Source organism: Homo sapiens, chromosome 5 (assembly GCF_000001405.40).
Source record: "Homo sapiens chromosome 5, GRCh38.p14 Primary Assembly".
NCBI lineage: Eukaryota > Metazoa > Chordata > Mammalia > Primates > Hominidae > Homo > Homo sapiens.
This window is the reverse complement of record NC_000005.10, coordinates 62,030,926-62,052,975: the sequence shown is the minus strand read 5'-3', so window position 1 is coordinate 62,052,975 and position 22,050 is coordinate 62,030,926. Positions and strand designations below refer to the sequence as shown.

Here is a 22,050-nt window from a genome sequence, read left to right as displayed (position 1 = left end):
AGGCAAGATGGCTGACTAGATATAGCTATGCGGAACATCTGCCACTGAGGGACTGGGACATTGGGAAGACTAGTACCCTCTGAACAGGTCTCAGAAGGAAGGCATTGATAGTGGACAAAGGGAAGACGCAGATGCTGGGCTGAAGAAGGGGAAGATGGCAACCCTACATGGGGCTATTGTGCACCAGGATTCATTCCTGGCCCCCAACGACTCCTAGGGAAGGAGTGAATTGAGCAGGCATGGAGCAGCCCACTCTCACCATGGACCTCTGGAATCCTGGCAGCAAGAGACCCCATAACTCCCATGGACTCTTGAGCTGGCAGAGAGAGCTGCTTAGAGAGGTAGTAGGGGCAGGACTCCAGCCTGTGTGGAGCCCATCAGGAATGTCTGTAGGGGTGCATGGCCAGTGATGCCCATCCCCCAAGGCTCACTTTGCTCCCCTAGAAGACTCTAGCCTTGGGAGAACTGTTGGACTTGAACAGAGCAGGTTGATCTTGCCTGTGAGATGGGGCCAGTCTGACATGAGTGCTCTTCTGTCTGCTGGCCTCTCCTGGGACTCCGGCTTGGCCTGCTTGCAGTGCAGTTTCAGACACCCAACTGGGGTACCTCCCAGGGCCCCCCTCATAGGTCCTCCACTGATGGAAAATGCCTGACCATCAGAGAGCTCCAGCAGAGTGGCCCTCACTGACACACACCGGCCCACCCACACCCACCCCTCATTGTAGCCTCCCTCGTGCCAATTTGCTGGCACTTACTGCCCATGGCCACACCCCATTGCTTTGCCAGTGTTCACATGCACAGATGGACCTCGTGCCCCCTCCCCACTGGTACATGGGTAAATGTGCACTTTATCATGCCATTACTGCCAGTGTGAGTACACCCACCTCCCCCTACTCATTGTCACACTTCTGTTCCCCCATTGCCAGTGTGAACACACGCATGGACACCAGCAGCCCCACAGCCCCCTCCTCCTGTGCTGCCACCACCACTGGTGTGAACATGTGCAGGGACACCAGTGGGCTCACTCCCTGCCTTGTTCCCCCACCAATACAGTGAACATGTGCATGGAGGTTGCCAGCCCTGGGCCCCCCAGTGACCTGCCTCAGCTGACAAGCATGTACCCCACTGTGCTGTTTCTGCTGCTGGCATGAGCTGATGAGCATGGCTCCTGCTGCTACTGCCCAATGAAGCATTTTGGTTGGTACTACCCTTTGGAGTGTTGTGGCCAGTGGTTCAGGAACACCTCAGCCCCTCCAGTGCAGCAGGTTCCCAACCTCGAGGGGCCAGAGAACAAAGCCAGGGGCCTGATACCAGCCCTTGAGTGTTAGAACATACAGCTCAGGAGTGCTGAGCTGAGCCTTCACCTTCTAAAACCTGCCAGAAATGAAGCAGTCGACAGAAGCTATCTTATATCACAATCAAGACCCCAAGGACATCAAAGAAGATAAAAGATTTAAAAAGATCTAAAGAAGAGCAACTTCAATGACTGAAGGAACATCAGCCCACACAGATGAGAAAGAATCAGCACAAGAACTCTGGCAACTCCAAAAGTTCTCTTCCTACCTCCAAATGACCACACTAGTTCCTAAGCAATAACTGTTAACTGGGCTGAAATGGCTAAAACGACAGAAATAGATTTCACAACATGGATAGGAAAGAAGATCATCCACATTTAGGAGAAAGTTGAAATCCAATCCAAGGATTCTTAGGAACACAATAAAATGATACAGGAGATGAAAGAAGAAATGGCTATTTTAGGAAAGAACCAAACTGAGGTGATAAAACCTTAAAACTCACTTCAAGAATTTCAGAATACAATTGCATATATTAACAGCAGAGTCAACAAAGCTGAGGAAAGAATCTCAAAGCCTAAAGACCAGCTGCCTGATATAACTCAGTCAGACAAACATAAAGAGAAAACAATAAAGAAGAATGAACAAAACCTCTGAGAAATATGGGATTATGTAAAGAGACCAAATCTATGACTCGTTGGCATCCCTGAAAGACAGGGAAAGAAAGCATGAACCTTAGAAAACATATTTGAGGATACTGTTTATGAAAATTTCTCCACCCTTGCTAGAGAGGCTAACATTCAAATTCAGGAAATATAGAGAACCTCTGTGAGACACCGTATAAGACAACCATCCCCAAGACACATAGTCACCAGAGTCTACAAGGTCAAAATGAAAGAAAAAGTGTTAAAGGCAACTAGAGAGAAGGGCAGGTCACCTACAAGGGAACCTCATCAGGTTCACAGTGGACCTTTCAGCAGAAACACTACAAGCCAGAAGAGATTGAAGGCCTATATTCAGCATTTGTCAGGAAAAGAATTTCTAACCAACAATATCATATCCAGCCAAACTAAGCATCATAAACAAAGAAATAAGATCCTTTTCAGACAAGCAAATGCTAAGGGATTTTGTTACCAGCAGACCTACCTTACAAGAAGTCTTGAAGGGAGTGCTAAACATGGAAAGGAAAGACCATTAGTAGCCACTACAGAAACACACTTAAGTACTAATCAGTGACATTATAAAACAACCACCTAAACAAGTCTGCATAATAACCAGCTAACAACAGGATGACAAGAACTAATTTGCACATTTCAATACTAACTTTGAATGTAAATGGGTAAATGCCCCAATTAAAAGGCACAGAGCAACAAGTTGGATGAAGAAGAAAGACCCAATGGTATGCTGTCTTGAAAGACTCATCTCACATGCAATGACACCCATAGGTTCAAAATAAAGGGATGGAGAAAAATCTTCCAAGCAAATGGAAAACAGATAAAAGCAGGGGTTGTTATTCTAATTTCAGACAAAACAGGCTTTAAACCAACAAAGATTAAGAAAGACAAAGAAGGGCATAACATAATGGTAAAGGGCTTGATTCAACAAGAAGATTTAACTATCCTAAATATATGAATCCTAAATTGTACCCATAATGCAAATTCTTAGAGACCTACAAAGAGACAGATAACCACACAATAATAATGGGAGACCTCAACATCCCAATGACAGTATTAGACAGACCAATGAGGCAGAAAAGTAACAAAGATACTCAGGACCTGAACTTGACATTTGACCAAATAAACCTAATAGACATCTACAGAACACTCCACCCCAAAACAGTAGAATATACACTGTTTTTTTTTTGTTGTTGTTGTTGTTTTCTTTCTATTTTTCTTTTTTTCTTTTTTTTTTGAGGCAGAGTCTCACTCTGTCGCCCAGGCTGGAGTGCAGTGGCATGATTTTGGTCACTGCAACCTCTGCCTCCCAGGTTCAAGTGATTCTCATGCCCTAGCCACCCAAGTAGCTGGGATTACAGGCATGTGCCATCACACCCAGCTAATTCTTGTATTTTTTAGTGGAGACAGAGTTTTGCCATGTTTGCCAGGCTGGTCTTAAACTCCTGACCTCAAGTGGTCTGCCTGCTTCAGCCTCCCAAAGTGCTGGGATTTCAGGTGTGAGCCACTGCACTCCACCCAGAATATATATTCTTCTTACCTGCACATGGCATATACTCTATAACTGACCACACAATTGGATCTAAAACAATATTCAGCAAATTCAAAAAAAAAACAAAACAAAATTATATCAACCATGCTCTTGTAACACAGCACAACAAAAATAAAAATCAATACTAAGAAAATTGCTCAAAACCATATAATTACATGGAAATTAAACAACCTGCTTCTGAATGACTGAAATTCAGAGAACATTCAAGAAATTCTTTAAAATTAGTGAGAACAAAGATACAACATACCAGCATCTCTGAGACATGATTAAGGCAGTGTTAAGAGGGAAGTTTATAGCATGAAAAGCACATACCAAACAGCTAAAAAGGCTTCAAATTAGCAACCTAACATCACAACTAGAGGAACTAGAGAACCAACAGCAGTCCAACCCCAAAGCTAGCAGAAGACAAGAAATAACCAAAATCAAAGCTGAATGAGATCCAAAAACCATACCAAAAAAAATCAACAAATCCAGGAGCTGATTTTTTGAAAAAATAAGCTAGATAGATCACAAGTTTGACTAATAAAGAAAAAAGAGAATATCCAAATGAACACAATCAGAAATGACAAAGAAGATGCTTCCACTCACCCCACAGAAATACAAAAAACCTCAGAGACTATTCTGAACACCTCTATGCACACAAGCTACAGAACCTAGAAGAAATGAATGAATCTCTAGACACATAACAACCTCTGAAGACTGAACCAGGAAGAAATTTTGGAATGTGTTAACAGACCAATAACGAGTTTCAAAATTGAATCAGTAATACAAAGCATGCCAACCAAAAAGAGTCTGAGACCAGATGGAGTCACAGCTGAATTTTACCAGATGTGTAAAGAAGAGCTGGTACCATTCCTACTAAAACTATTTCAAACAATTGAGGAGGAGGGACTCCTCTATGACTTATTCTATAAGGCCAACATCATCCTGATACCAAAACCTGTCAGAGATGTAACAAAAAAGGAAAGCTTTAGGCCGGTATCCTTGATGAACATAAATGCAAACATCCTCAAGAAAATACCAGCAAACTAAATCTAGCAGCACATCAAAAAGCTAATCTACCATGATCAAGTAGGTTTTATTCCTGGGACGTGAGGTTGGTTCAACATACGCAAATCAATCAATGCGATTCACCACATAAAAAGAACTGAAAACAAAAACCACATGATTGTCTCAGTAGATGTAGAAAAGGCTTTTGATAACATTCAACATCCCTTCATGTTAAAAACTCCTAACAAACTAGGCATTGAAGAAACATACTTCAAAATAGTAAGAGCTATCTATGACAAACGCACAGCCAGCATCATACCGAATGGGGAAAAGCTAAAAGGATTCCCCTGAAAACTGGAACAAGACTCACCACTACTATTCAACATAGTACTGGAAGTCCTTGCCAGAGCAATCAGGCAAGAGAAAGAAATAGAGGGCATCCAAATCAGAAGAGAGGAAGTCAAACTATCCCTGCTTGCAGATGATATAATTCTATACCTGGAAAGCCCCATAATGTCTGCCTAAAAGCTCCTTTACCTGATAAACAACTTCAGCCAAGTTTCAGGACACAAAATCCATGTTCAATAATGAGTAGCATTCCTATACACCAACAACATCCAAGCTGAGTGCAAGATCAAGAATGCGATTCTATTCACAATTGCCACAAATAGACTAAAATACCTGGAAATACAGCTGACCAGGGAGGTGATGGATTTCTACAAGAATTACAAAACACCGCTCAAAGAAATCAGAGATGACACAAGCAAATGGAAAAACAGTCCATGCTCATGAATAGGTAGGGTCAATATTGTTAAAATGGCCATACTTCCCAAAGCAATTTATACATTTAATGCTATTCTAATTAAACTACCACTGAGATTCTTCACAGAACTTGAAAAAAGTATTTTAAAATTTATATGGAACCAAAAAAGAGACTGGACAGTCAAGGCAATCCTAAGCAAAAAGAACAAAGCTGGAGGCATTACATTACCCAACTTCAAACTATACTCCGAGGTTACAGTAACCAGAACAGCATGTTACTGGTATAAAAACAGACACATAGACCAATGGAACAGAATAGAGAGCCCAGAAATAATGCCTCACACCTACAGCCATCTGATGTTCAACAAAGTCAACAAAAACATGCAATGGGGAAAAGACTCCCTACTCAATAATTGGTGCTGGGGTAAGTGCTTAGCCATATGCAGAAGATTGAAATTGGACCTCTTCCTTACATGATAAAAAAAAAATCAACTCAAGATGGATTAAAGACTTAAATGTAAAACCAAAAGTGATAAAATCCCTGGAAGATAACCTAGGCAATACTATTCTGGACATAGGATCATGCAAAGATTTCATGACAAAGACACCAAAACCAATTGCAACAAAACCAAAAATTGACAAACGGGATCTAATGAAACTATAGAGCTTCTGCACAGCAAAAGAAACTATCAATAGAGGGAACAGACAGGATACAGAATGAGAGAATATATTTGCAAACTATGCATCCGATAATGGTCTGATATCCACAATCTATAAGGAACTGAAACAAATTTATAAGAAAAAAAACAACCCCATCAAAAAGTTGGCAAAGGGCATAAACAGACATGTTTTAGAAGAACAACAGCCAAGAAGCATATGAAAAAAATGCTCAATATCACTAATTATTAGAGCAATGGAAATTAAAACTACCAGACACCATCTCACACTAGTCAGAATGACAATTATTAGAAAGTCTAAAAATAACAGATGCTGGCAAGGCTGTGGAGAAAAGGTAACACTTACATACTGCTAGTGGGAATGAATATTAGTTCAGCTACTGTGGAAAGAAGTTTGGTGATCTCTGAAAGAACTTGAAACAAAATTTCCATTCCACTCTGCAATCCCATTATTGGGTATATGCCCAAAGGAATATACATTCTAACATAAAGATTCATGCACATACATGTTTATTGCAGCACTACTATCAATAGCAAAGACATAAAATCAACCTAGATGCCAATTAATACTAGGCTAGATAAAGAAAATGTGTTAGATACAAACCGTGGAATACTATACTGCCATGAAAAAGAATGAGATCATGTCCTTTGAAGGAACATGGATGGAGCTGGAGGCCATTATCCTAAGCAAACCAATGCAGAAACAGAAAAGCATATACTGCCTGTTTTCACTTATAAGTGGGAGCTGATCATTGAGTACACATAGACACAAAGATGAAAACAACAGACACTGGGTCCTACTTGAGGGTGGAGGGTGGTAGAAGAGTGAGGATTGAAAACCTATGTATTGGGTACTATGCTTATTATCTGGATGATGAAATATTCTGTACACCAAACCCCTGCAACATGCGATTTACCTGTATAACAAACCTGCACATGAAGTACCCCTGAACCTAAAATAAAAGTTAAAAAATTTTTCATCTGTCATTGCTATGCATGTGTTCAGAGAAGAAAGGTGAACTCACTGCCTTTTGATCATTATAAAAGTCTGAATTAATTCACTTGAAAATGGTAAATAAACAATGTTCCTTTTAGAATAATTTGTTGGGGAGAAAAATTATTCTGAAGTTCAGCAGTTTATCAGTATTATTATAGGGTTGAAACCACCTTTGCAAAAATTATAACAATGAGAGAAACCTAACCTAACTCACTCCATCTTGCTTCTAACCTCCAAGCTGCCCTTATTCATCCCTGGGTGTAGGTCAAGCTAACTATAGGAAGAATTTATTTTATAGTTTAAACTTTAAAACAAAGATGAAAACAGCCCCTTCCTGAAACTAAACTCCTCCTTGCTCAGGGACAAAAACTGCCTTTGTAAAATTAACAAATTAATCACAAGGTTAGAATTATGGTTCAGGAGTCATGTAGCTAGAGGTCACAAGATTTATAACCTCTCCAATTGCTCCTATAGATAACATCACTGTTGTTAAACCTAAGATTGGTGTTTGAGGTATTTTCCAAACCCTACATTTTGTTGGAACAGCTGGTGCCACTTGGACTGGTAACCCATACCAAGAAACTGGCTGATCTGCTATTGTGACTCCCACCCAGGAATTGACTCAGCACAAGAAGACAGCTTCAACCCCCTATGATTTCACCTCAACCAAAGAAATCAACATTCCCCATTCCTAAGCCCCTGCCCACGAAACTGTCCTTGAAAAACCCTAGCCTCTAAACCTTTGGAGAGAGCTGATTTGAGTAATAACTCCTGCCCTTAGACTTGGCTGGCCCTGTGATTATTAAACTCTTTCTCTACTGCACTACCACTATCTCATTTAATTGGCTTTATCTGTGCTGTTGGCAAGAATAACCTGTTGAATGATTACCGGGTTTTCTTTGTGTTAAAATGAAGCAAAATAAAACTGAACACTTAAAAAATATGTAGCTTTTATACAATGATTCTGGTTTTGATGAAATATCCCTGTTTCTTCTATTTATATATGTACATACAGAGATGTTTGAGATGGTGTTCACAGAATGATAAATGATGGATCTTTTGGGGTAGATGACTTTGTAATTTTTTTTCTTCTTTTTTTTTTCCCCTTGTTCACTTAAGGTTTTTATTTTTTTTATTTTTTTTTAATAATGATGAATATAACATTTACAAAAGCAATTAATCTGCTTTTCTTTTCTACATGAAAAGCAACAGCAACAATGAATTTTTTTTTTTTTTTTTTTTTTTTGAGATGGAGTCTCGCTCTGTCGCCCAGGCTGGAGTGCAGTGGCACAATCTTGGCTCACTGCAACCTCTGCCTCCTGGGTTCCAGCAGTTCTCCTGCATCAGTCTCCTGAGTAGCTGGAATTACAGGAGGCCACCACCACACCTGGCTAATTTTTGTATTCTTAGTAGAGATGGGGCTTCACCATGTTGGTCAGGCTGGCCTTGAACTCCTGACCTCAAGTGATCTGCTCACCTGGGCCTCCCAAAGTGTTGGGATTACAGGTGTGAGCCACTGTGCCCGGCCAACAATGAAATCTTTTCAATGGTTCTTCATGTAACTCAGGAGAAAATTCAAACTTATCTCCTTTGTCCCCTTGTCCATACGATAATAGAAACAATACAAATATCAGTAGCCGAGGCCAGCAATTCATGTCTGTGCGGTAGAAGAATGTCTTGGGGAGTGCTAGCAATTACCTTTCTGTGCTGAAAGGGACAGGTCAGTCCTATTTTAATCTATTTATTTTTGTTCTCCATTTTCAAGAGGGAAATGTCTTGAAAAGATAATGTCTCTGAATATTTTTTAATAGAACTTCTCTTCCCCAGTTACATACCATTCAGGTGATGGCTTGTTGATGTCCAGGGAATTGTGTCATTTTCTGCTTCATTTTGCTGGTACTGATCTGTCCTTTGCACGCCTGATAGAGACACACAGTGGATTGGAGGGAGGGAAGAAGCCTTTCTTGCACAGTTGCTGCCCTGTTTTACAGAGGAACAAAGCTTCCATCTCTGCTTCTCTGATTTGCACAAAAGTTGCAAAAATTATATATGTCTAAAAAATTTCCTTGAATAATTTCCACGTTGTGCATGAAACAATGGCCCTTTTCACTTTTAAAAGCACTAAAAAAATAAGTAAATCTCCTTTCTTTATGGGCACCAAAGCAAAGCATATGTGCTCTATTTGGAGAATGCAAATGCCTCAAGCTGCAGCATTTCTTTCACCAGCTCTCAGCAAGTGGCCATTTAGGCTTAATTGCTCCTCACAGCATAGTCCAATTAAGAACGGGCATCAGCAGGGTAAGGGCTATTTGTTAATCCCTAAAAGGTATGAGAGACAGTACTTGTTTTGCCTGCGGTTTTTATTCACATGTTTGGGTGAAAATCTAAACAGCTGGAACTCTCAGCAAGTGATATGTGTGTGTATTTAATCTATGGGTTGTGGGCAAGACAAGTGTATGAATGCATTTCACAAAAAAACAAACTTTTTCTTCCAATACAAAGGAGAACTTGGCCAAGATATTGCTGAAACTTAGCAAGGCATGATGTTTGAAACTGTGGGGGGCAGAGATTGCCTAGAGGAGAAAACCTCTGAACCCAGGGTGTTTTTCTACAACATAAAAATGGTTTAGTCCCTGGGAGAGCAATTTCCTTATTTTCTTATTAAAGTGTGAAATTCTATCAGAGCCAATCTTTTTTTTTTTTTTTCATTCTTTTTCAAATAGAGTTTTGGTTATTTTGTGAATTTGCTTTCTGTTTTTCATTTTGATGAGTTACATGGAAAATGTCATTCTATGCTGCGGACAGAATAAACTGACAAGAAGTGGGCAGTGTGGGTGTGTAGCTGTGGCTCTTGTGATCCAATGAAAATAGGCAAACGTAGGAGAAAAAAATATATATGTAGCTGTTAAATAGTTTCAGCTAGCTGAAAGGTTTCCACACTTTCTTCTGCATGAAAAAGAATCTGAAGAGTGCTAGCTGTGCCAAGAGGGTGCACTTACAATTTTTTTTTTTTTTTTTTTTTTTTGGACAGGTAAGCAACCTCTTGCAAGTATAAATGAGGGATTTCTTATAAGTCTAGAAGCTTTGCTTTTCAGAGACGTTTCTTGTAAGTCTAGAAGCTTTGCTTTTCAGAGAAGTTTCATGAATACCTGTTCAGGCTATTCATGAAATCTCTGCAAGATACATTGTCTAAAAAAGTTAGACCCAAGTAGTGATGGGAATTTGGGAAGGTAGGAAGAAAGAGCATTTGGCTCTCTTGGCAACTAAGAATTTTACTCATGGCCATGGATACCTTTGCCTTCCCAGAGTAGAGTGAGATTGGATGCCAAATATGTTCCATGATTTACATATTTGTTGGGCTTTGAAGACAGGCAGAACCATCAATCCATTTCCTTGCTCCTTCTTGCTCAATTTTTCCCTTTTCTAACCCCCAAATCCCTGGGGGATTCTGTTCCATTTATAACAAGTCTGGCTTCCTTGACCTTCCCTAGACAAGCACAGAGAAGGGCAGAAAAGCCTGGACAATTATTCATGCATCTGGGCTGTTCAGTAGTCAATCAACCTGACTTAACTAGGAATAGAGATTTTCTTGTTCCTTAGCTAAATGAAAACCTTTTCTCCTGCACCCCCAACTTGGATTTTGTTTTTACCGTTGTCAATTGTTAAGGAACACAACTCTGAAGAGTGAAATCTTTGCTGGTTTCAGGACTGTACCTACCATCAAATTCATGATCCTCTTCTGGAAAATGTACTCACCCAGCTACCTCTTGGTCTGCATCCTTGCTGCTGCTGGCTTCAGGTAATGATATTTACCCAGCTCATTGAAATGTCACACTTAGGACTGAGGCCTATAAATTATTATTGTACTCGTGTTATATTGTAAAGATAAAGGTCAGATCAGAGCTCAGATTTATTCACACACAAGATGCATTTCTGAGAGTTAGAAGAAAAATAAACGATTGGGTTTTTCAGTTAAAAGTACACACAAGTGATATTGTGCTTTTTTTTTTTAACAAAGGAAAAGAAATAACCACAGAACCAGTAGTTCTTGGAGTAAATAAAAGTAAAGATTGGCTCATCTGAGGCCTAGAAGTACTACCTCCAATTTTCTGCTCATTTTCTAACTGTCCTTTAAAAGTGACTGGATAAGGTAAAAGGTCAGGGCCAAGTTCAGGAAGATTAGGGAACAACTGAGAATTGATCATTGCACAGTGACTTAGCAGGTAACCTTCTCCTTCGCAGGACCAAGATAGCCCCTGGGTTCCCTGCAGAAAGTTGTTTGGTGGCTGGAAAGCCTGTGTCATTTTAGATTAGCACCTTTGTGCACAGGTAGCTGCAAAGCGCGTGTCTTTTTACCTTGAACTACAGATTTTCAAAAGCAAGATAGCTGACTAATCCTAGCCACTGCTAGCCCTACAGCCAAGGAGGCAGCTCAGTGAGGAGGAAATGATAAACGATGATATTAGCGCTGGAGGTAGTCCTCCAGTGTGGACTGAGAGTCTGTGCTGGGCAGCCTGGAGTGCATGTTGCTGGTGTCTCTGCTGCACCAGCTCTTTGAATAAATCATGGACTGAGTGTTGTTAGCTGTAAGGGCAACAGCTCTTGTCAGCACTTAATAAAAAGTCCCAGACCATCTACATCAAATGATTTTTCTTCCATAAAATTTGGCTTTTGAGCTTTGAAAGAATTTTCTAGGCTCACCCCATTTTTCTTGCTCACTTATCATCCTTTCAAGGATTATCTCCACATAGAGAGTGATGTTTGAAGGATTTAGTCTTTCGAACTATTTGAACAAGAACTGCTGGATAATCTTTTATTTGCCTCTCATTTCTGTAATTCACCCTACTTCTTCCCCTTCTTCTTGTTTTCCTTTGCATTTCCCAGTTGAATCTCAGTGCATTTACTTAACATTCTCCTTTTTTCTATGTTCTCCTACAGTTTTTTTATTCTTTATTAACTCATTCATAGTAATTACAACTACAAACTCTAAGTGCTTACTTGTGGTTGGCACTGTACTGGACATGGCAAGGAAGGGGTAGTTTGTATTTGATATTATTTGAGGCATTTGCTAATCTTTGTTATTTTAATAAAAGAAGAAAAAAACACATAATCATGTTTTTATTTTTCTTATTATTTTTTGAAACAAGGTCTCACTCTGTCACCCAGGCTGGAGTGCAGTGGCATGATCATGGCTCACTGCAGCATTGACCTCGTTGGGGTCAAGTGATCCTCCCACCTCAGCTCCCCGAATAGCTAGGCTACAGGCATGTGCCACTGTGCCCTGATAATTTTTGTATTTTCTGTAGAGATGTGGTCTTGCCATGTTGCCCTGGCTGGTCTGGAACTCCTGGGCTCAAGTGATCCACCTGCCTGTGCCTCACAAAGTTTTGGGATTACAGGTGTGAGCCACTGCGCCTGGCCTGATCATGTTTCTAAAACCCTATAAATGATACACAAATTGAGGAATCATAAATGCCTATTCAGGTCTACCTCATATTACTACACCCATAAGAGAATGTTACCTTATTCACTTTCATATTTATTTTAATATTTCTTGCTTATCCTTCTCCACATTTACAGAAAAATATTGGAAAAAAAAATGTCTACCTGCCTTTAAGCCCCCACCATCACTTTTTCTTTGGTTCTACTATTTTTTTTAATTATTTTTTAAAATAGTGATTGTTGCTACTAACAGGTTTCTCAAAAGCGAACATTCTTTATCTTAAGGGAAAACAACCAAGTAATAGGAAGTACAGATAGCTCACCCCTGGCAGGAATAAGGAGTAGGAGAGCTAGATTTGACTCTCTTCTCCCTCTCTGCCTGGCTACTTCCTTCCTCACTTTTTCTGTGTACCTTCCACTTTCCCCTCGGTTGAGTGATTTTAACCCATCAAAGAGTTTACAGTTTTTTTCAAGAGATGCAAGCAGTGAGTTAGAGTGGCAGCAGTATTATCTTTTCTTTACCCTGGACCATGGTGCTTGGTTTCAAACCAGAAGCTAGAAGATAAGAACTGCTAAATGTAAGTCATTTGCAAATCATCTTCCATTTATTCTGTCACCAAGCATTTACTGGGGGCCGATATTTCCAGGTACTGTTCCAGACACTCAGGATATATGTGTAGAGAAAGCAGACTAAGATCCCTGTTCTTGTGGGTCTTAGATTCTAGTGGGAGAGGCAAACAGTAAATAATAAACCAAATAAATGAGTTAATTATCCAGCTTAATAGAAGATAAGTGCTATGGAAAGCAAGAGAAAGAACAGCAAAATATAGGATGTTAGATGTTGGGGCATTAGATGTAAGTGTTGTGAAGTTGGCCTCATTGAGAAGATGACACTGGACAAAGATTCCCTCCTAATCTAGGTCCCACAAATGTTCACAAAAACACTAGGAGAGCTGGGCTACAACTAGCTTTGCCACAAATTATCTTCACATAATGGGGGAGGAGCCCCTGTTTTGTAAAATGAACTGCTAAGAGACAAGACTACAGTTTTTCTCTGTTTCCTTCTGGAATGCAGAAAATATCAGGGCAGGGAAGAGTTACTCAGGTAAAGACAGATTTGATAATGCTGCAAATGGTGTATTCTCTATTTCTTAGTACCACTTAGATTATACAACTTGTTCTCTATTTCTTAGTATAACTCTTTTGGTGGATACCTTATTTCTGGGCCACTAGGTGGTATCTATATAAAACCATAGTTTCAATTTAGAGGTGTCTCTGCAAAAGTATGTTGAAGAGTTTCTATAAGGAGTTTTTGTTCAATCCGCTTGAGATTTGTAAGTGTTTGGGTCTGTGTGTGTGCACCTTTGTGTGAAAGTGAATAGAAATGATCTTTTCTTATTACTAAAAGATGCTGTCTATGTGCAAGGAATAGCACAACTTTTGTTTTATACAGATAATAATTGATTTGTAATCATTGTCTTATTTATGTATTCAGTTATGTTAATAATTAGAGTTTGTAAGTTTCTAAACTGTGAAGCAATGATTCTATAGCGTATTTTTTTGTGATATCTAGAGAAAGGCTCTTAAAATTGTTTGGTCGTTCATAGCATTTCTAATAGAGACTGACTATTTAATTCCCTTCTTTGAGGGAACTTGGAGTCTGATAAGTAATATGTCAGAAATGATTATGGAAAAGCAAACCATGAATATGTCCTCAAAGAATAAGTATATCTTTGGGAAATGAAAAGAATCTCCTGAATTTTCATCTTGTCACAAGTTAAATTGAGAGCTATTTAGATGAGATCACACCATCACACCTTATGCAGTGCCCAGGTTTGATGTTTTAAAACATACTGTTCCCCTCTTTCTCCTGAATGTGGAGGCAATAGCAGCTACTGTTTTGCAACAATCTTTTTGTGTGGTTTGGCTTGAGGGACCTGGGGGTCAGCTTTCAATAGAATTTGGAATGGGCTGATATAACTTTTTTAGAATAATAATACATCTTTGGGGGATCAGACTGTGGGACAAAAACATCTATTGGATGGTAACGTAGAGCCACACTTTTGGTGATAGGGAGCTAATGTGGGGGTAATGGGTGTGGAAAGATGACCTGAAGCTAAAAGATTTGAGCTCATTGCAAGTTATCCAAGCATTAGAATGAAGGAGAAATGATCAGAAGCTACAAAGAGGAGAAGCAGAAATCATGTAGGTCCAATTATTTCCCCAAGACACAACTTTTGCTATCCAAAATGAACACTGCCTTTATTGAGTTTTTATCTGTGCTGGCTGGGTTAGCCAGCCAGCCTATCTCTGCCCACACCTTGGGTTCTGAACTCAGATGGAATTCCTCCTTTCTCTCTCCCTCACTCACTGTATGGCTCTGCTCCAGGCACTTAACTAGCTAGTTATCTCCTCATCTGAAAAGTAAAGATAATACTGTATGCCTCTAGCAAGAGAGAGTATGTGGGGGATTGCTGGCAAGATGGCCCAACAGGAACAGCTCTGGTCTGAGGCTCCCGGTGAGATTGATGCAGAAGGCAGTGATTTCTGCATTTCCAACTGAGGTACCAGGTTCATCTCATTGGGACTGGTTGGACTGTGGGTGCAGCCCACAGAGGGTGAGCCAAAGCAGGGTGGTGTGTCACCTCAGCCAGGAAGCACAAAGGGAGGAAGAATTTTCTCCCCTACCCAAGGGAAGCCGTGAGAGACTGAGCCTGAGGAACCATGCACACTCCGGCCCAGATACTGCACTTTTCCTATGGTCTTTGCAACCCGCAGACCAGGAGATTCCCTCTGGTGCTTACCCCACCAGGGCCCTGGCTTTCAAGCACAAAGCTGGGCAGCCATTTGGGCAGACACCAAACTAGGTGCAGGAGGGTTTGTTTTTTTTTTTCCATACCCCAGTGGCACCTGGAACAGCAGCAAGACAGAACTGTTCACTCTCCTGGAAAGGGGTGCTGAAGCCAGGGAGCCAAGTAGTCTGGTTCGGTGGGTCCTACCCCCATGGAGTCCAGCAAACTAAGATTCACTGGCTTGAAATTCTCACTGCCAGCACAAAAATAGTCTGAGATCTACCTGGGATGCTCAAGCCTGGTGGGGGGAGGGGCATCCGCCATTGCTGAGGCTTGAGTAGGTGGTTTTATGCTCACAGTATGAACAAAGCAGTCAGGAAGTTGGAACTGGGCAGAGCCCACTGCAGCTCAGCAAGACTGCTGTGGCCAGACTGCCAGATTTCTCCTCTATGGGCAGGGCATTTCTGAAAAAAAGGCAGCAGCCACAGTCAGGGACTTATAGATAAAACCCCCATCTCCCTGGGACAGAGCACCTGGGGGAAGGGGCAGCTGTGGGCACAGCATCAGCGGACCTAAACATCCCTGCCTTATGGCTCTGAAGAGAGCAGTGGTTCTCCTAGCACAGCGTTCAAGCTCTGATAATGGACAGACTGCCTCCTCAAGTAGGTCCCTGACCCCCGTGTATCTTGACTGGGAGACACCTCCCAGTAGGGGCTGACAGATACCTCATACAGGAGACCTCTGGCTGGCATCTGGCAGGTGCCCCTCTGGGACGAGGCTTCCAGAGGAAGGAACAGGCAGCAATCTTTGCTGTTCTGCAGCCTCCACTGGTGATACCCAGGCAAACAGGGTCAAGAGTGGACTTCCAGTAAACTCCAGCAGACCTGGGGCAGAGGGGCCTGAATATTAGAAGGAAAACTAACAAACAGAAAGAATACCACGTTCACTCAAAGACCCCATCTGAAGGTCACCAACATCAAAGACCAAAGGTAGATAAATCCACAAAGATGGGGAGAAACCAGCACAAAAACGCTGAAAATTCCAAAAACCAGAACACCTTTTCTCCTCCAAATGATCACAATTGCTTGCCAGCAAGGGAACAAAACTGGATGGAGAATGAGTTTGATTAATTGAATTGACAGAAGTAGGCTTCAGAAGGTGGGTAATAACAAACTCCTCTGAGGTAAAGGAGCGTGTTCTAACCCAATGCAAGGAAGCTAAGAACCTGGAAAAAAGGTTAGACGAATTGCTAACTAGAATAACCAGTTTAGAGAAGACCATAAATGACCTGATGGAGCTGAAAAATACAGCACAAGAACTTCATGAAGCATACACAATTATCAATAGGCAAATCCATCAAGCAGAAGAAACGATATCAGTGATTGAAGATCAATTTAATGAAATAAAGCGGAAAGACAAGATTAGAGAAAAAAGAATAAAGAGAGACGAACAAAGCCCCGAGAAATATGAGACTATGCAAAAAGACCAAATCTGCATTTGACTGGTGTACCTGAAAGTGACAGGGAAAATGGAACCAAGTTGGAAAACACTCTTCAGGATATTATCCAGAACTTCCCCAACCTGGCAAGACAGGCCAACATTCAAATTCAGGAAATACAGAGAATGCCACAAAGATACTCCTCTAGAAGAGCAACCCCAAGACACGTAATCATTAGATTCACGAAGGTTGAAATGAAGGAAAAAATGTTAAGGGCAGCCAGAGAGAAATGTCAGGTTACCCACAAAGAGAAGCCCATCAGACTAATAGCAGATCTCTCTGCAGAAACCCTGCAAGCCAGAAGAGAGTGGGGGCCAATATTCAACATCCTTAAAGAAAAGAATTTTCAACCCAGAATTTTTTATCCAGCCATATTAAGCTTCATAAGTGAAGGAGAAATAAAATCCTTTATAGATGAGCAAACACTGAGAGATTTTGTCACCACCAGGCCTGCCTTCAGGCCTGTGCTCCTGAAGGAAGCCCTAAATATGGAACGAAACAACCAGATCCAGCCACCGCAAAAACATACCAAATTGTAAAGACTATCGACGCTATGAAGAAACTGCATCAACTAATGGGCAAAACAACCAGCTAGCATCATAATGACAGGATGAAATTCACACATAACAATATTAACTTTAAATGTAAATGGGCTAAATGCCCCAGTTAAAACACACAGACTGGCAAATTGGATAAAGAGTCAAGACCCATGGTGTACTGTATTCAGGAGACCCATCTAACATGCAAAGACACACATAGGCTCAAAATAAAGGGATGGAGGAATACTCACCAAGCAAATGGGAAGCAAAAAAATCAGGAGTTGCAATCCTAATCTCTGATAAAACAGACTTTAAACCAACAAAGACCAAAAGAGACAAGGGCATTACATAATGGTAAAGAGATCAATGCAGCAAGAAGAGCTAACTATCCTAAATATATATGCACTCAATATAGGAACACGAAGATTCATAAAGTGAGTTCTTAGAGACCTACAAAGAGATTTAGACTACCACACAGTAATAGTTGGAGATTTAACACCCCACTGTCAATACTAGACAGATCAACGAGACAGAAAATTAACAAGGATATTCAGGACTTGAACTCACCTCTGGACGAAGCAGACCTAATAGACATCCACAGAACTCTCTACCCCAAATCAACAGAATATACATTCTTCTTAGCACCTCATCACACTTTTCCTAAAATTGGCCACATAATTGGAAGTAAAACACTCCTCAGCAAATGCAAAAGAACAGAAATCATAACAAACAGTCTCTCAGACCACAGTGCAATCAAATAAGAACCCAGGATTAGGAAACTCACTCAAAACCGCACAACTACATGGAAACAGGACAACCTGCTCCTGAATGACTACTGCGTAAATAACGAAATGAAGGCAGAAATAAAGTTGTTCTTTGAAACCAATGAGAACGAAGACACAGTGTACCAGAATCTCTATGACATATTTAAAGCAGTGTGTAGAGAGACATTTATAGCACTAAATGCCCACAAGAGAAAGCAGGAAAGATCTAAAATTGACACCTTAACATAACAATGAAAAGAACTAGAGAAGCAAGAGCAAACAAATTCAAAAGCTAGCAGAAGACAAGAAATAACTAAGATCAGAGCAGAATTGAAGGAGATAGAGACATGAAAAACCCTTCAAAAAATCAATGAATCTAGGAGCCGGTTTTTGAAAAGATCAACAAAATGGATAGAGTGTTAGCCAGACTGATAAATAAGAAATGAGAGAAGAATCAAATAGACACAATAAAAAATGATAAAGGGGATATCACCACTGATCCCACAGAAATACAAACTATCATCAGAGAATACTATACACACCTCTATGTAAAAAGACTAGAAAATCTAGAAGAAATGGATACATTCCTGGATACATACACACTGCCAAGTCTAAATCAGGAACAAGTCGAATCCCTGAATAGACCAATAACAAGATCTGGAATTGAAGCAATAATTAATAGCCTACCAACCAAAAAAAGTCCAGGACCAGATGGATTCACAGCCAAATTCTACCAGAGGTACAAAGAGGAGCTGGTACCATTCCTTCTGAAACTATTCCAAACAATAGAAAAAGAGGGAATCCTCCCTAACTCACTTTATGAGGCCAGCATCATCCTGATACCAAAACCTGGCAGAGACACAGCAACAACAAAAAAATTTCAGGCCAATATCCCTGATGAATATCGATGAGAAAATCCTCAATAAAATACTGGCAAACCAAATCCAGCAGCACATCAAAGAGCTTATCCACCACAATCAAGTTGGCTTCATTTCTGAGGTGCAAGGCTGGTTCAACACATGCAAATCAATAAATGCAATCTATCACATAAACAGAACCAATGACAAAAACCACATGATTATTTCAATAGATGCAGAAGAGGCCTTCAATAAAATTCAACACTCCTTCATGCTCAAAACTGTCAATAAACTAGGTATCAATGGAATGGATCTCAAAATAATAAGAGCTATTTATGACAAACTCACAGCCAATATTATATTCAATGGGCAAAAACTGGAAGCATTCCCTTTGAAAACCGGCACAAGACAAGGACGCCCTCTCTCACCCTCCTATTCAGCATAGTATTGGAAGTTCTGGCCAGGGCAATCAGGCAAGAGAAAGAAATAAAGGGTATTCAAATAGGAAGAGAGGAAGTCAAATTGTCTCTGTTTGCAGATGACATGATTGCATGTTTAGAAAACCCCACTGTCGCAGCTTAAAATCTCCTTAAGCTGATAAGCAACTTCAGCAAAGTCTCAGGATACAAAATCAATGTGCAAAAATCACAAGCATTCCTATACACCAATAATAGACAAACAGAGAGCCAAATCATGAGTGAACTCCCATTCACAATTGCTACTAAGAGAATAAAATATACAACTTACAAGGGATTTGAAGGACCTCTTCAAGGAGAACTACAAACCACTGCTCAAGGAAATAAGAGAGGACACAAACAAATGGAAAAACATTCCACACTCATGGATAGGAAGAATCAATATCGTGAAAATGGCCATACTGCCCAAAGTAATTTATAGATTCGATGCTATCCCCATCAAGCTGCCAGTGGCTTTCTTCACAGAATTGCAAAAACTACTTTAAACTTCATATGGAACCAAAAAAGAGCCCACATAGCCAAGTCAGTCCTAAGCAAAAAGAACAAAGTTGGAGGCATCATGCTACCTGACTTCAAACTATACTACAAGGCTATAGTAACCAAAACAGAATGGTACTGGTACCAAAACAGATATATAGACCAATGGAACAGAACAGAGGCTTCAGAAATAACACCACACATCTACAACCATCTGATCTTTGACAAACCTGACACAAAAAAGCAGTGGGGAAAATATTCCCTATTTAATAAATGGTGTTGGGAAAAGTGGCTAGTCATATGCAGAAAATTGACACTGGACCCCTTCCTTACACCTTATATAAAAATCTGGTCAAGATGGATTAAAGACTTAAATGTAAGACCTAGGACCATAAAAATCCTAGAAGAAAACCTGAGCCATACCATTCAGGACATAGGCATGGGCAAAGACTTCACGACTAAAACACCAAAAGCAATGGCAACAAAAGTCAGAATTGACAAATGGGATCTAATTAAACTAAAGAGCTTCTGCACAGCAAAACAAACTATCATCAGAGTGAATAGGCAACCTACACAATGGGAGAAAATTTTTACAATCTATCCATCTGACAAAGGGCTAATATCCAGAATCTACAAGGAACTTAAGTAAATTTACAAGAAAAAAAACCAACCCCATCAAAAAGTGGGCCAAGGACATGAACAGACACTTCTCAAAAGAAGACATTTGAGCGGCCAACAAACATATGAAAAAATGCTCTTCATCACTGGTCATTAGAGAAATGCAAATCAAAACCACAATGAGATACCATGTCATGCCAGTTACAATGATGATCATTGAAGTCAGGAAACAACAGATGCTGGAGAGGATGTGGAGAAATAGGAATGCTTTTACACTGTTGGTGGGAGTGTAAATTAGTTCAACCATTGTGGAAGACAGTGTGGTGATTCCTCAAGGATCTAGAACTAGAAATACCATTTGACCCAGCAATTCTGTTACTGAGTGTATACCCAAAGGATTATAAATCATTCTACTATAAAGACACATGCACATGTATGTTTATTGTGGCACTATTCACAATGGCAAAGACTTGGAACCAACCCAAATGTCCATCAGTGATAGACTGGATAAAGACTATGTGGCACATATACACCAAGGAATAGTATGCAGCCATAAAAAAGATGAGTTCATGTCCTTTGTAGGGACATGGATGAAGCTGGAAACCATCATTCTCAGCAAACTATCACAAGAACAGAAAACCAAACACTGCATGTTCTCAATCGTAAGTGGGAGTTGAACAATGAGAACACATGGACACAGGGAGGGGAACATCACACACTGGGACCTGTCGGGGGTGGGGGACTAGGGGAGGGATAGCATTAGGAGAAATACCTAATGTAGATGACGGGTTGATGGGTGCAGCAAACCACCACGGCACATGTATACCTATGTAACAAACCTGCACGTTCTGCACATGTACCCCAGAACTTAAAGTATAATAATAAAAATAAAAAAGAGAGTATGTGAACATTTTGTGACTTCTAGGGGAAAAGGATTAACAAACACCCTAATTCCAGTCTTGTTATAACACATGTAGAGAAAAAGAAAGACTTTAGAAGATTATGTCATTTACACAGAGAAGTTTAAAAATTATATGGGTTGAAGTACAAATATGATATATTTTAAATTTTTGATACTCCCATCTGAGGCATGGCTTTTGTTATCTAAAGAAAAACTGTTGATTAAAATTATTAAAGTATCAGAAACAACATCAACAACTTATTTTTCTGATGGGTGTGTTACCTTGAATGATAAAAACTTAGAGGAAGTCCTGAATTACAACATATTATTTTTGGCTAGAATGAAGATTGATCCGAAGATTTAATTTTGACTTTCAAAATTTAACAGTCTGTGCCACTAGTAGCTAGGTATGTATGTGATAAAGGACTTGATGATGATGAAAATCACCAATTTGTTATTTATTTGTTTTCTTTCTCACAGTATTGTTTCTTTGGGCAGGGCTGAGATGGTCTGGTTGGCTCTCAGTCATTTCTTTGAAGGGTTAATATGTATTGCAGTCAATGTAGACTATTTAAGGGTTGATGATCAAGGCAATAGATTATTCAGCCCTTATTTTCTACTTTCTTTGACTTGTTAATTTTAGAGTGATTTTGCTGCTTATTAGTACCTTTTACCAGAGATAGGATAGGGATAATGGAAGAACAAAGACTTCCCCACATTATTACCTCTTAGTCAATGAGGG

At 40.1% G+C, this 22,050-nt stretch overlaps 1 long non-coding RNA gene across 1 annotated transcript in view, besides 2 other annotated features; it reads left to right on the top strand.

The window, feature by feature from the left end:
• Positions 1–22,050, top strand: part of LOC124900610 (uncharacterized) — a 170,779-nt gene that overhangs the window by 84,632 nt on the left and 64,097 nt on the right. Inside the window, exon 2 of the long non-coding RNA XR_001742671.2 lies at positions 10,651–10,743. This is a non-coding gene — a long non-coding RNA (uncharacterized LOC124900610). The remainder of the gene's footprint in view (positions 1–10,650; positions 10,744–22,050) is intronic.
• Positions 8,705–9,249: an enhancer, noted in NCBI's record as "OCT4-NANOG hESC enhancer chr5:61339554-61340098 (GRCh37/hg19 assembly coordinates)". NCBI's record gives its function as "activates a minimal SCP1, AML or CMV promoter by ChIP-STARR-seq in naive and primed H9 embryonic stem cells {active_cell/tissue: H9 hESC(naive and primed)}" and the evidence as "EXISTENCE:reporter gene assay evidence [ECO:0000049][PMID:30033119]".
• Positions 9,250–9,795: an enhancer, noted in NCBI's record as "OCT4-NANOG hESC enhancer chr5:61339008-61339553 (GRCh37/hg19 assembly coordinates)". NCBI's record gives its function as "activates a minimal SCP1, AML or CMV promoter by ChIP-STARR-seq in naive H9 embryonic stem cells {active_cell/tissue: H9 hESC(naive)}" and the evidence as "EXISTENCE:reporter gene assay evidence [ECO:0000049][PMID:30033119]".